The 14,002-nt window shown below is 36.4% G+C and overlaps 1 long non-coding RNA gene across 1 annotated transcript in view; it reads right to left on the bottom strand.

The window, feature by feature from the left end:
• LINC01612 (long intergenic non-protein coding RNA 1612) overlaps nt 1-9,603 on the bottom strand; it is a 57,133-nt gene extending 47,530 nt beyond the window's left edge. Inside the window, exon 1 of the long non-coding RNA NR_125889.1 lies at nt 9,411-9,603. This is a non-coding gene — a long non-coding RNA (long intergenic non-protein coding RNA 1612). The remainder of the gene's footprint in view (nt 1-9,410) is intronic.
• Between the last annotated feature and the right edge of the window lie 4,399 nt (nt 9,604-14,002).

Below are 14,002 nucleotides of genomic sequence, written 5' to 3'. Positions count from 1 at the left end.
TTCTAAAAAGTATTATAGAATTGCAGCTGGAATTCAGTTGGGGATTATTTTCTATTAATTCAAGGATATAGATTTTAATAAATACCAATTTGCCCTTTTAAAATATACTGATTAACACATATTATTAACAGTCTACTTTTTGCGTTGGATGCTTTTGGTTACAAATAATGGGAAATACTACCCAGAGTGCTTTAAACACAGGATATTTATTGTGTTTAACAAAAGGCTGGAAGAGGCTGTCTCATGGTTGCTCCATAATGACCTGGGGACCCACATTCAAACTCAAGCTCAGCTTTTCATACTCAGTTTTGTCTCAGTCAGTTGGCTACTGCAGCACCAGGCCTCAAGTTCTCATATAACAAAAGTCCAACACCAAACAGAACTTTTCCTCCAACCCCTCTGTCTTTTCAAGGTGAAAAACCTCTCCTAGAAGCCCCAGAGGTCTCCCCGCTACATATCATTGGCCATAACTGAATGTCATATTTGAAAATCAGCCATGGCAATGGAAAATGAGATTGCCACATAGTACAAAAACAGTCAGGACTAATCCCCCGGCCCTGGGTACTCTGTGACTCAAATATCCTCAGGATTCTATGGGCAAGGAAAGAGTAAGGAAACCCAGCAGCTTCTGCTGTGCATAACATGTGCAAAGTATTATATACATACTTTTAAACCTTTTTTAAAAAAATGATGCATATACTTAAACTTATAAATGAAGAAACAGGCTTTAAGAAACCCCATAATTTGCCAAGGTCACACTGTTCCTGAGCAGCCAAGTCTGAACTGAGGCTTGCCTAGCTCTGCAGCCTCCCTCTGAGCCATGCACTCACTGATTCTACCATACCTAGAAGAAAACAATGAGCCAGGCTACTGAGGCTTGCAAGCCACTGATCTCAGCGCTCTGTTTGCCGAGATAATGATGAGCGTTTCGGACATATTTTCTTAGGAAAAGATGCTCATGTGTATATCCTCCAAAAACGAATATGTTTTGGTTCAAAGACAAACCTTCCCTCAAGTTGAGATGACAGGGACCATCAGTTCCACAGAAGAAAAAATATTACCCCTTCTAGTCTCTTCATAAACGGGTGCCAAGACCAGCATAGGTCATATGTCATAGGTGGCATCTTTTTGATGATTTGAGAGCCTCGTAATTTTTTATTGACTCATACCCAGCTTCACTTCACTTCTGCTTTAGGAGAAACTATTGTTTCTATAATTTAGTAGTAAATGATTTTTGAATAATGAGAACTTGGAGGGAGGAAAGAGGAAGTTACATGAAGCGAGGCAAATAACTGAAGATGTTCATAATGCTAGTCATTTTTCTCCAGAAATAGCACCTGCTGAATTCCCTGTCTGGTTTTTTTTCAGGTAGAAAAAAAATAATAAAAAATAAGGCTCTGTGTTGTCTTAAGATATTGATGCTTAGGTAGTAAGTGGCAGAGCAGCTGCTACTATCATAAAATTCGACAGCAGCAAAATTTAATGTTCTCGACATGCTGCTAATTATATTTTCTGTTGATATATTCTTACTAAAATTTCCTATTCTTTGTCTTATTTTATATTTGCAATCTTTCATCATGAAAACATATATATATACTTTTTAATATATACTTTTTATAAAGTATATGTACTTTTTATACATAAAGTATATATATACTTTTTTATATATAAACTTTATATATGTATACTTTATATATAGTATGTATATACTGTTTGCATATATAAATATATATACTAATAATATATATACAAGTATATATAATTACATATAAATTATATATAATAAAATATATAAGTATATATATAGAGATGTACTTTTATGTGTACAGATATATATACTCCCATCTTTCTAAGCTTTTAATACATTGTTTTAAAGTAAATGTTTACTTTACAAACACTTTCAATCCCAAATGCATTTAATGAAACTATAATTATATTGATAAGTGAGTAGAAGCAAAAAAGAAATGGCTCTTCAGGGTCATATTCCCAGCATTGCTTTTAACTTGCCAATTGATGTGAATTTTAATAATAGCTCTTTATTATGTTTTTCCTTCTTTTTTAAATGGAACTTGAAAAACTCTTTATACGTAACAAACCTGCATGTTGTGCACATGTACCCTAAAACTTAAAGTATAATAAAAAAAAATGGTGTGTTTTGGTATTGGTATCACAAGAAGAGAGCAAAGGAAATGTGTTATATATATTTTACTTTAAATAGCCACAGTTCACCTATCCCTTTACCTCTTATTTTTGCCTGCAAAAATATAAAATCAGCTCCAAGAGATGGAGTTAAGAATGGGGTGAGCTTCAAGTGTTTGTGGGAAATAAGGAAAGAACTGAGCAATCTGCAACCTGAAATTACGCAAAATACAAATTCAGTTTCTCTGTAATGTATGTGCTCCATGCTCCTTCCAATATCTTCCAAGAAAGCCTTTTGAAGGAATGTTTCATGTTGGATGTGGTAGCTAAGCAAATGTTTCAATTCTTCCTAATTTTATATTTTTATTTGTGCCTATTAGTTTAGAAATGTGCCTTTAAATGCTTTAAATAGTGCTGATCATTAATTATAGGTAGGTGTGAAAAAAATAAGCATAAGTGCTCTGAACATTTAAAATATCCCTTCAAACATTTATAATAAGCACAGTTATACTTGGCCCATAGAAATGCCTTACCTTTTAGGGCTTGATAGTTTAGAGTACAGGGCCAGGTGTGGTGGCTCACACCTGTAATCCTAGCACTTCGGGAAGCCGAGCTGGGTGGATCACAAGGTCAGGAGTTCAAGACCAGCCTGGCCAAGATGCCGAAACCCTGTCTCTACTACAAATACAAAAATTAGCCGGGTGTGGTGGCACGCACCTGTAATCCCAGCTACTCAGGAGGCTGAGGCAGGAGAATCTCTTGAACCCGGGCGGCAGAGATTGCAGTGAGCCGAGACTGTGCCACTGCACTCCAGCCTGGGTAACAGAGCAAGACTCCGTCTCAAAACACATAAACAAATAAATAGTTCACAGAGTACTGTGTGCTACATAGCTCATTTTTTATCACATATCCCCATCTCCTTAGGTGCACAGGTGGATAATTATTCCTGTTCCACAGGTGAAGGTGGGGTTCCAGGATACAAAGTAATGTCCCATGGATTGTGGGGGAGCTCAGAGAAAAAATGGGTCTTGGACCTAAATTTAGACATTCCAGCTATTTTACTGGGTATACGGTTAAAAAAAATTGCTGTCAAAATGTCTTAAGAGAAATACAGATAAAAAATTGAATAGCCTCAATCTGGTTTGTTTATACATAAGACCTACAAAAGGCAGCTTCAAAAGGCAGCAAAAAAGCTTTCTTCAGTGTATGCATGATACTGCTGCCAAACCCCTGATGCAGTTGGTATTCAGAGAACTTTAGTACTAAGACCAGTCCCTTCCTTTAATGGTGCTGTTCTTCTCTCCTGCTGATATTTTTAGTTTTATTTTTTCAATATCTTAACATCTTTATCAAAAACCTGTTGCCATTTTCTATATCTAGAAATGCAAAGTGAAAGAGTACATTAGCATTAACTTGGCCAAATCCTTATTGCTGCCAACGAAAAGCCTGTTATATACTGGCTGGTTTAAATGTAGACTATGCAAATTATTCACAATGTAGAAAGCATGATTATTGCTTTTCATAGTCTTATTTTAATGATGAGGACTTTCTTGTGCCTCTTCATGATTTTTAACTATGTATTAATATACACCAACTTTTCCATATGGATGGTTATATACTTTGAAAATCAGCTGAACATCGCCCTGATTCATGGTAGTTGTTAGTATAATATTGTGACATTGTTTTAAAAACAAACTAGGAAAAAATAGTTTGGCAGTTCTTCAAAATATTGAACATAGGTTTACCATATGACCCAACAATTTCACTTCCAAATATATACCCATGAGAAATTAAAATATATGTGCAGTGCACACAAAAACTTTCACACAATATTTATAACAGCACTATTCATAATAGCCAAAAAATGAAAACAGCCTATATGATTTTTCAACTCATTAACAGATTAACAAAATGTGGAGTGTTTGTACAATAAAATACTATTTGGCAATAAAAAAATGAAATACGGATTATCATTTTAACATGGAAGTATTACAATATTATGCCAAGTGAAAGAAGCTACTCACAAAAGACCACATGTCAAATGATCCCATTTGTATGAAATGTCCAGAATAGGAAAATCCATCAGGACAGACAGTAGACCAGTGCTTGCCTAGGACGAGGGTGGAGGCGGGCCTTTAGGTGTGAATAGGAAGTGACTGCTAGAGGAGAAAGGTTTTCTTTTGGGAGTTTTGATATGTTCTAAAGTCATGTTCACATGTGGTGATAACTCCAAAACTCTGTGAATAGGTTTGTACTAGTTCGTTCTCGCATTGCTATAATGAAGTACCTGAGACTGGGTAATTTATAAAGAAAATAGGTTTAATTGTCTCACAGTTCCACAGGCTGTGCAGGAAGCATGGCTGAGGAGGCCTCAAGAAACTTACAATCATGGTGGAAGGCAAAGGGGAAGCAAGCACATCCTACATGACTGGAGCAGGAGGAAGAGACCAAAGGGGGAAGTGTTACACACTTTTAAACAACCAGATTTCGTGAGAACTCACTCACTATCAGGAGAGCAGCAAGAGGGAATCAGCCCCCATGATCCAATCACCTCCCACCAGGCCCCTCCTCCAACACTGAGGACTACAATTTGACATGAGATTTGGGTGGGGATACAAATCCAAACAACAGCAACACTAAAAAACAGCCCAGTTCTGTATATATTAAATGGGTGAATTATCTCAATAAAGATGTAAAAACAAAGTACCTAGTACACTTCTCTCAGGCTTTCTAATTTGATATTCAGGATTGGCTTAGTCAAAAGACCTAAATTCAGATCCTGGCTGACTGAGCAGTGTGTAGGCAATCACTTATCTCTCTGCTGTTACTGTTGCTGCTTCCTCCTTTTACACAAAGCAAGGTTTCCACTAGCTGATTTAAGATCAGTTCTAACTCTATGAACTAGGATTATTTGGATCTCTTCTTTTGTGATACCCTACCTTGTTTTAACCTGAATTGACTCTCCCTTAGCTAAAAGAGCCAGACAAACTCCATCTTGGCTCCTTCACTTGCAGCCCCTTACCCATCCTCCTTCCTCAAGGACTTAACTTGTGCAAGCTGACTCCCAGCACATCCAAGAATGCAATTAAACTGATAAGTTACTGTGGCAAGCTATATCCACAGTTCCCAGGAATTCACCCAGTTAATAGCACCCAGAGCCCCCATGTTTGTATCTGGTTGATAATACCCAAAGCCCCACGTCTATCACCTTGTGATAGATCTAAAGCCCCTGCACCTGGAACTGTTTGCTTTCCTGTAACCATTTATCCTTTTAACTTTTTGCCTGCTTTACTTCTGTAAGATTGTTTTAACTAGACTCCCCCACTTCCATTTCTAAACCAAAGTATAAAAGAAAATCTAGCCCTTTCTTCGGGGCCAAGAGAATTTTGAGTGCTAGCCATTTCTTGGTCGCCAGCTAATAAAGGAATCCTGAATTCATCTCACAGTGTGGCGTTTCTCTGTAACTCGCTTGGTTACAACACTTTCATAAAGGCAGAATAAGAAAAACACTTTTTAATTACATATTACTTTGCCTGCCTTTTACTCGGATTTTCAGACATTGTGAGTGAAGGATATGCTATTGCTAAGGGCAGCTTTCCAGCTGAGAAAAGCTTGAGCTCACGTTAATCACATGGCTCAGAGTCCACATGTGTGTTCACCAACAGGCTTGCAAAATACTCAAAAGCTTCACGTTTTTAAAATCTACTTTAATATATACCTGATTACTCCTTATCTTAATGTCAGCAGACTTTAAAGAGTCTATAGACTTATGGAACTTGAGTTTGAAATATTTGTCCTGTTCTATAATATCTTTATGTATTCCCTAGAGTGCAGATTCTATACTTTTTTGTATATTTGCTAAAATATAAAACCCATTGTCAATTAGGTAAACGAATATTTCATTTGAGATGTCACATGCTCATTCTGATTATTTAAAAGGTGAAGGCAAAACATGTACCCCGGCTGTGTGTTTCAGCTCATTATGTTAGCAGTTTCCTTAGTTCCCTGCTCCCACCTTCATCCCATCCTCTTGTTCCAAAGCAAAAAGAAGTCTAGAAACTGACCAAAAACAGAAAGGATGTGTTATTTGAGTACCAGTTTAGTTACCCCTACTCCTACCACCACCACACACAAACACACACAAATCATTAAAATAAGACATAGTCTATGTGTAGCAATCTGAAAGGTATACAAATGTATTCATGATACTAATATTTGTAAATGATCATAGCAGTGATTTATCTTAATACACATGAGACCCGACTCTACAAGTGAAAAGGCTAGATAAGACAAGGCCATGTGTACTTTCTCTAATCTTCTACAAGGAATGTACTCATTCACTTTTGAGAAAGGAAAACAGGACCAATAGGGAAAGAACCTGCCTTTTTGAGGCTCTGAAATCATAGCACATGTCTCTCTTTCAATTCGTCATTCTCCAGGTGCCCATAACCTGAAACACAAAGTATGCACAGGGAGCCCTTGAGATACTGTCCTATAGTACACATCTCACCTAAAAGCAAAGCAATATCAAGCTACTGAAGCTCAAGTCTCCAGGATACATCCATTTCGATATATAAAATGAAAATATAAGCAGGGTAACACTTGTAATATCAAAGGAGTGGTTTGATTTTCATCCCATCTTATAAGTATGCTCTAACTCATTGCTACAAGGGGTCATAACTCAAGGTGGCAAAGTGATGACTGAGAATGTTCTATATTTAAAACTTCACTGTCAAGAAGATGCACAGGTGTACCTGTGGTAAATCATGGAACGAGACTGAAAATGAGCATGACACACCCTTTCTGCCACACACAATAAGGATTCCTTTCCTCAAGCTGTAGGAGTCATTGTTTGCAAAGCTCCTCAAGACAAGCTGGGAAGCATGTTTGGAAAACAAAGGACTTTTTAATTGCTGCTGACATGAATGAACTCTCTGAAACAACAGCTGTGTCTTGAGATTACATTACAAGGCATGTGAGCAGGATGCAAAGCATCCTCATAAAAAGACAAAGCCAAAGAAGTCTTTTATTGCTTCTGAAAAATATTCCCAAAGCTGGGATGCTTAATTTCAATTCCTGGAGGATGCAGCAATCATATGTTTACAGAACAAAATTGAGAAACAACCTTTGTATTTGTGGTGGCTGACAAGAAACAAAATCCAGGTAGACAGTTTGGATAAGAGTTGGAAATCAGTCAGCAAGGTTATACTTGTATACAGCCTAAACATTGGTTAGTGGCAATGACATCTGGCTATTAAAATATTGTCCCAAGGTATTATTTCCTTTCTGTCTTTCTAGTCACAGAGTGTTTGCCACTGGGTATAAATTATGGACAAAGGAGCTCATTTAGAGAAATATTGACCTAGTCATACTTTAAAAGTTTATTACTACCCTGAGAGAAATGAACCTTGTGAAATTATAACTGCTGAACTACAACCAAGATCCTTTCAAAGACAGACCTCAAGAGGAAAGGAAGAGAAGGTTAAGGTTGGAGGAGACGAAAATCAAGAGTGCTTAAAGAAGAATGAAGAGGACAAAGAAGATAGGGATTTAGTGAACAGACCAATGGATCTGACATCAAGGTAAGGATTATATACTGTTTCTATAATTCCATTCATCAAGCAACTTATTTTAGACATTAAATCTTCAGGGTAAGTGTTTCCACCAAAATTGCATACAAATGTGATGAAAGTGCATTTTCCCATATTTTTCATCAGATTCTCAGAAGGCTCGACAAACTTAAAGGTTGATAAACTATAGTGTGGAGGGTTAAGAAAGCTGAAAAACTTCTGACCCTCCTTCCATGCAGAGGTGGAATCTATTTCTCTCTCTTGAATCTAAACTGGTGGACTACGCTTTGACAATAGAGAGCATCAGAGATTATTCCACTCCAGTTCCAGACTCAGCCTGTAGGAGAACTAGTGTCTCTTTCTTGATCTTCCAGAGCCCTGAGCTACTTATCCTGAAACCATTGTATGTGAGAAGCCCAGGCCACATTGGAGAGGCCCTGGAAATGCTGTATGGAAAGAAAGAGAGGCCAGGGAGCACCATGGCACCAGATATGGGGGTGGAGAAGCCATCTTGAGTGTATCCCACAGCTTCTACTGCTGCCAACCTGAGCAAAGATGAATCACCCAGCCTGGCCCTTCCAGAATTCCTGACCCACAAAATCATGAATGAAATAAAATTGTTGCATGAAATCATAAAATTCAGATGTTAGCTATTTTAGATCAAGAGATATCACAACACACTGGGATTTTTTATTAAAAATTCTTAAGCATTTTACATACAACTCAAAAATTTTAGACATGCTATTATAAACTAACACATAATTCTAAGCCAAAACTATTCATAATGTGTTCCTCCTTTCTGTCCATCATGTTGTTTACTAATGAAGCACTTAACAGTTTTGGGGGAGGGGTAAGAAAAGTTACCAAAAGAAAAATATAAACAAGCAAACAAAAAACAGAACTCATCATTTTCAAACACCTTTTCTTCAATGCAAATGATATTTAGTTTTTACTGTTCTTAAACTTTACATCATGCCTAATTTCTTTCCAGTCCTCTAACTTCTCTATATGGTCTGCTCACTGTTTTTTGTTGTTCTTGCCTTTTAATACCTAATGACACTAATTAGTTCACAGCTGTCATAAAATGCTTTTGTTCTCAAAGAACTCACAGATAAGGTTTCTTTCTTGAATAATCTGTAGACGCTTTACTGTTTATAAAACAGTTCTCATTTTATTTTTGCTAAAGATTGGTCTAAGTAATTTATATACACAAGAGAATTGAAAAATCATGATTTTTTTACTTGTTCAAGTTTAGATCCTATTACTTTTCTGAGTTCATATGACATTTTCCTTTCTCATAATTTTGAGACAAAAGAAAATGTTAGCTATATAAGGTTCAACCTGATTAAAGTGAAGATATTCTCTAAAATGTTCTATCTTCCCACTTACCTGGAATAAAGACTTGGGAAGTCTCAAAACTTAGGGGTCAATCTTAAGTAACTGCAATTTTAAACTCCAATCAGTTAAAAAATTAAATGATCTTGTTCCATGTAATAATCAAAAGCCCATATTTATTTTTACATTAATTTAACATTTATTTAGTTAGAGTCTGCTGGAAGCAAAAACCTTTGACATCTTCTGGCATCTTCTTTCTTTCCTACCAATTTTTTCCTTAGCCTACTCATCTTAGCTTCTACATCCTGTAATTATTTTAGGAAGAGGGTGGTAGAGGGGAAAAACTTAGAGAAGTCAAGTTCTTACCTCACCCGTATTGTTCAATTTGCTTTACGCTTTCTTGAATTTGAGAGGTTTCTCCAGCTCACTCTTTCCCTGTGTTAGAAACAAATGCTGGGTGCTGCAAAGAAAACCAGAACTTAGGCAGAAAATTTCTCAGCAACGCACATCTACTTCTGCAAAAGGGTGCTGCCTGTGTCAGTCACAATCACAAGAGCACACCTAGCCAGGTAGGGCAGGGGTTTTTATCCCTAACACAGTTCCTGTTCTGAGTCCTTTCCCCATTGGCTGGAGTCAGACCACACAGTCTAAGCTGACCCGATTGGCTAGTATTTGAAATTGAGTAAGGCCAATTAGGGGAGAAGGCAGAGGCTGTCCCTTACCAACTAGGTGGGAAGGCTTGTTTACAGAGTAAGAGGTTTGCTAGTTACAGATTAAGCAGAGAAACAAGTGCTCATTACAGACTAAGCAGGAAGGGCTGTGCACAGAGCAAGAAAAACCAAGGAAGCTTAGAAGAGGAACTTACTATTTCTGGCACCTGGTACATGTAGGGGTTCTTAAGAAATTCCTTCATTTCTGCAGACCCCTTAATAAGGATCATTCACTCTCTTCTGGTTTGTGTGTCTGCAGGGCCCTAAAATCCAAGATTTCACCTCTAGCTCCTTCCACTGGGCTCCCATTTCCCCTCCAGGACTCTCATTAAGTTAAGATCTAGGATAACTCGACCCTGCACCTCTCAGCATAAGATAGATAAGAGTAGAGATAGAGATTTTGTTTAAAACCCCATATTGCCACCTCCTCTCCCTATAGCTGAATTTCTTCTTTTACTTGACCACGATGATTTGGATACATAATTAGATAATAATACAGCATAATTCTGTTCCAAAATCTATAGACTTGTGCTCATATAACCCAACTACCTTTTTCTTTCTCACTGGTGTTCACCTTTCCCAAAATGTTTTCTCTGCAATAATAGTTACTGTTATAAAATGTTGCCTGATAATATTTTCTAATCTGTATTAAGCAGTGTTGTGAGTCCCCAGAGTTAATATCAACTCAAAGTTATTCTTTATTTATTTACATTTTTTTTCATAGAGGCAGGGTCTCACTACATTGTCCATACTCCTGGGTTCAAGCAATCCTCTTGCCTCAGCCTCTCAAAGTGCTAGGATGACGGGCATGAGCCACTGTACCCAGCCACAAAACTATTCTTTAAAGGTGGTTATAAGTGGTCCTTCAATCATAATCATAGTATTTTTAAACTTTTAACTTTAGTGTATAGTTTCATTTAGCTGGCTTTGACATAAAGGTATAGTTATAATGAAAGATATCTGCTAATCTCACCTTTCCTGGAACCAGTGCCTTACACACAGATCCTACTACCAGCTCTAGAGAGAAAATTCTGGAAAAAATCATCTGTCTTGTTAGTTCCTAGTGATAGCACCTGAGGGACACGAGTATCAAAACTATGTTCTATCTTTCTTACTCAATCTTTGTTTTTTAAATTATAGAAATAAAAGTAAATATTATGATCATTTGCAGTCATTTGGTATTTCTCTTCTCAGTATCAGAAAAGGTGATTTATTTTTAGTACCTGAAACATCACACCTATATTAGCAGTGTGTAATTTCTTGTTTTCCTTTTTTGTTCCTCACAGATTTTTCTAACCCAAGCTATAACAATCCTCAATGGAAAACACATTATCATTTAATTTCTTCTTTGAACTTGTTATTACTCTTCTTTATAAAGAAATTTACAAGAAAATTTTAAATAAGAAATAGCTCTTTTTCAAATGCCAGGATTTGAGTCTCTTTATATCTCATTTCTTAATTTAATTTGACATCTTTTCACCACTAAATTCTGAAAATATAGAAACTACTTGATTATCATGCCCCGTGCGTACAAGTCAAAAGGTGGTGATCACTCATGTAATTGTTCCTTTTGAGTGTGAATTTGACTGGGCTATTGAGTGCCCAGATTACACGTTTTTCTGTTTTGGTCTATAACAGTGTTTTCAGATGAGATTAGTATTTGAACTGATTAACTCAGTAAAGTAAAGTTAACTCCACAATGTGGGTGGTCATTTTTCAGTCTATTGAGAGCCTGAATAGAACAAAATGCAGGGAAATTAAGAATTCTTTCCCTTACTACCTACCAGGTTGTGCTGTGACATTGGTCTTCTCATGCCTTTGGACTTGGAGTATACCATCAGTTATAAGGCCTTCAGACTCAGGCCAAAATTACACCACCAGCTCTCTTGGATCTCCAGTTTGCAGGTGACAAATGTGACAAATCATGGGAATTCTCAACCTCAATAATTCATGTATGTACATGATTTCATTTATATGTAATGTCTAGAATATGCAAAAATATAGAGTTAGTAGATTCATGATTGCCAAGGGCTATAGGAATTAGAAGAAATAGAAACTACTGCTAGTGGCTACATAGTTTCTTTTGTAGTTGATAAAATTTTCTAAAATTAGATTACAGTGATCGTTAAATAATGTGAATACACTGTTATCTACTGTAACTATGAATGTGATCTATTGTGAATATACTAAAACTATTGAACTGTACACTTTAAATGGGTGAATTTTATGGTTTGTGAAATATATCTCAATAAAGCCACTTTAAAAAGATGATAGGTGGTTGCTTTCTTAAATGTTCTTTTAAAATTTGTTTGTAGAATCATGTTTTAATATACATAATTACTTGGGGAAAATAAAAGTATACTCATTATTAATATGATAAAATTCTACTGACTTTTATTGATACATAATAATTGTACATGTTTATGGGGTGCACATAATATTTTGGTACACTCATACAGTGCATAATACTCAAATCAGGGTAACAGGGATTCCTATCACCTCAAACATTTATCATTTTCTGTGTTAGCAACATTCAAATCTTTTCTTCTATTTTTAAATTTGCAATGACTTATTATTAACTGTAGTCACCTGCAGTGCTATCAGACACCAAAAATTATTCCTTTTATATAATTGTATTTTTGTACGCGTTAACCAACCTCTCACCATCTCCTCCCCACCTTACCATTCTGGTAACCCTCATTCTACTCTCTACCTCCATGGAATCAATGTTTTTAGCTTCCACATATGAATGAGAACATTCAATATTTATCTTCCTGAACTTGGCTTATTTCACTTGACATAATGTCCTCCAGTTTCATTCATGTTGCTACAAATGACAGCATTTTATTATTTTTTATGGCTGAATAATATTTAATTGTGCATATATACCACATTATCTTTATTCATTCATCCATTGATGTTCACATACGTTGATTCCATATTTTGACTATCGTAAACAGTGCTGCAATAAACATGAGAGTGCAGATAACTCTTTGATATACTGATTTCCTTTCTTTTGGGTATATATACCCAACAGTGGGATTACTGGATCATATTTGTAGATCTGTTTTTAGTTTTCTAAGGAGCCAGTACACCATTTTCCATAGTGGCTGTACTAATTTACATTCAGACCAACAGTGTACAAGAGTTCTCCTTTCTCTATATCCTCACCAGCATCTGTTATTGCCTTTCTTTTTGACACAAGCCATTTTCGTTGGGGTGAGATGATATCTCATTGTGGTTTTAACTTGCATCTAACTGATGATTAGTGATGTTGAGTATTTTTCCATACACCTTTTGGGGTTGGCCACATTGGCTCACTCCTGTAATTCCAGCACTTTGGGAAGCCAAAATGGGAAGATCACTTGAGCCCAGCAGTTTGAGACCAGCCTAGGCAACATAGTGAGTCCCAGTCTCTACAGAATATTTAAAAATTAGCCAAGCATGGTGGTATGCACCCATGGTCCCAGCTACTTAGAAGGTTGAGGTGGGAGAATCACTTGGGCCCGGGAGCTTGAGACTGCAGTGATCCAGGATGGCACTACTCCAGCCTGGGTAACAGAGTGAAACTCTGACTCAAATACACACACACACACACACACACACACACACACACACACACACACACCTGTTAGTCATTTGTTTATCTTCTTTTGGGAAATGTCTGTTCAGATCATTTGCCTATTTTTTAATTGGATTATTTGTTTATTTTTCCTATTGAGTCATTTGTGTTCCTTATGTATTCTGATTATTAGTCCTTTGTCAGATGAATAGTTTGCAAATATTTTCTCCCATTTTGTAGGTTGTCTACATTCTGTTAATTTCTCACTTTGCTGTGCTGAAGCTTTTAGATTGATGAAATCCCATTTGTCAATTTTTCCTTTTGTTGCCTGTGCTTTTTAGGTCTTGTTTTTAAAACAAAAAACAATCTTTGCCCAGACCAATATCCCGAAGTATTTCCCCAGGTTTTTTCTAGCAGATTCATAGTTTTAGGTCTTATATTTTAGTCTTTAATCCATTTTATTTAATTTCTATATATGGTGAATGGTAGAGATCTAGTTTCATTCTTCCGCATGTGGATATCCAGTTTTCTCATCACAATTTATTGAAAAGACTATCCTTTCCCCAGTGTGGGTTCTTGTAACCTTTGTTAAAAATAAGTTCACTGTAGATGTGTGAATTTATTTTGATTTCATTGGTCCATATGTCAGTTTTTATACCAGTAGCATGCTGTTTTGATTACTGTAG

The sequence above is a fragment of the Homo sapiens genome, chromosome 4 (assembly GCF_000001405.40).
Source record: "Homo sapiens chromosome 4, GRCh38.p14 Primary Assembly".
In the NCBI taxonomy this organism is placed as follows: domain Eukaryota; kingdom Metazoa; phylum Chordata; class Mammalia; order Primates; family Hominidae; genus Homo; species Homo sapiens.
This window is presented reverse-complemented; position numbering and strand designations above follow the sequence as displayed.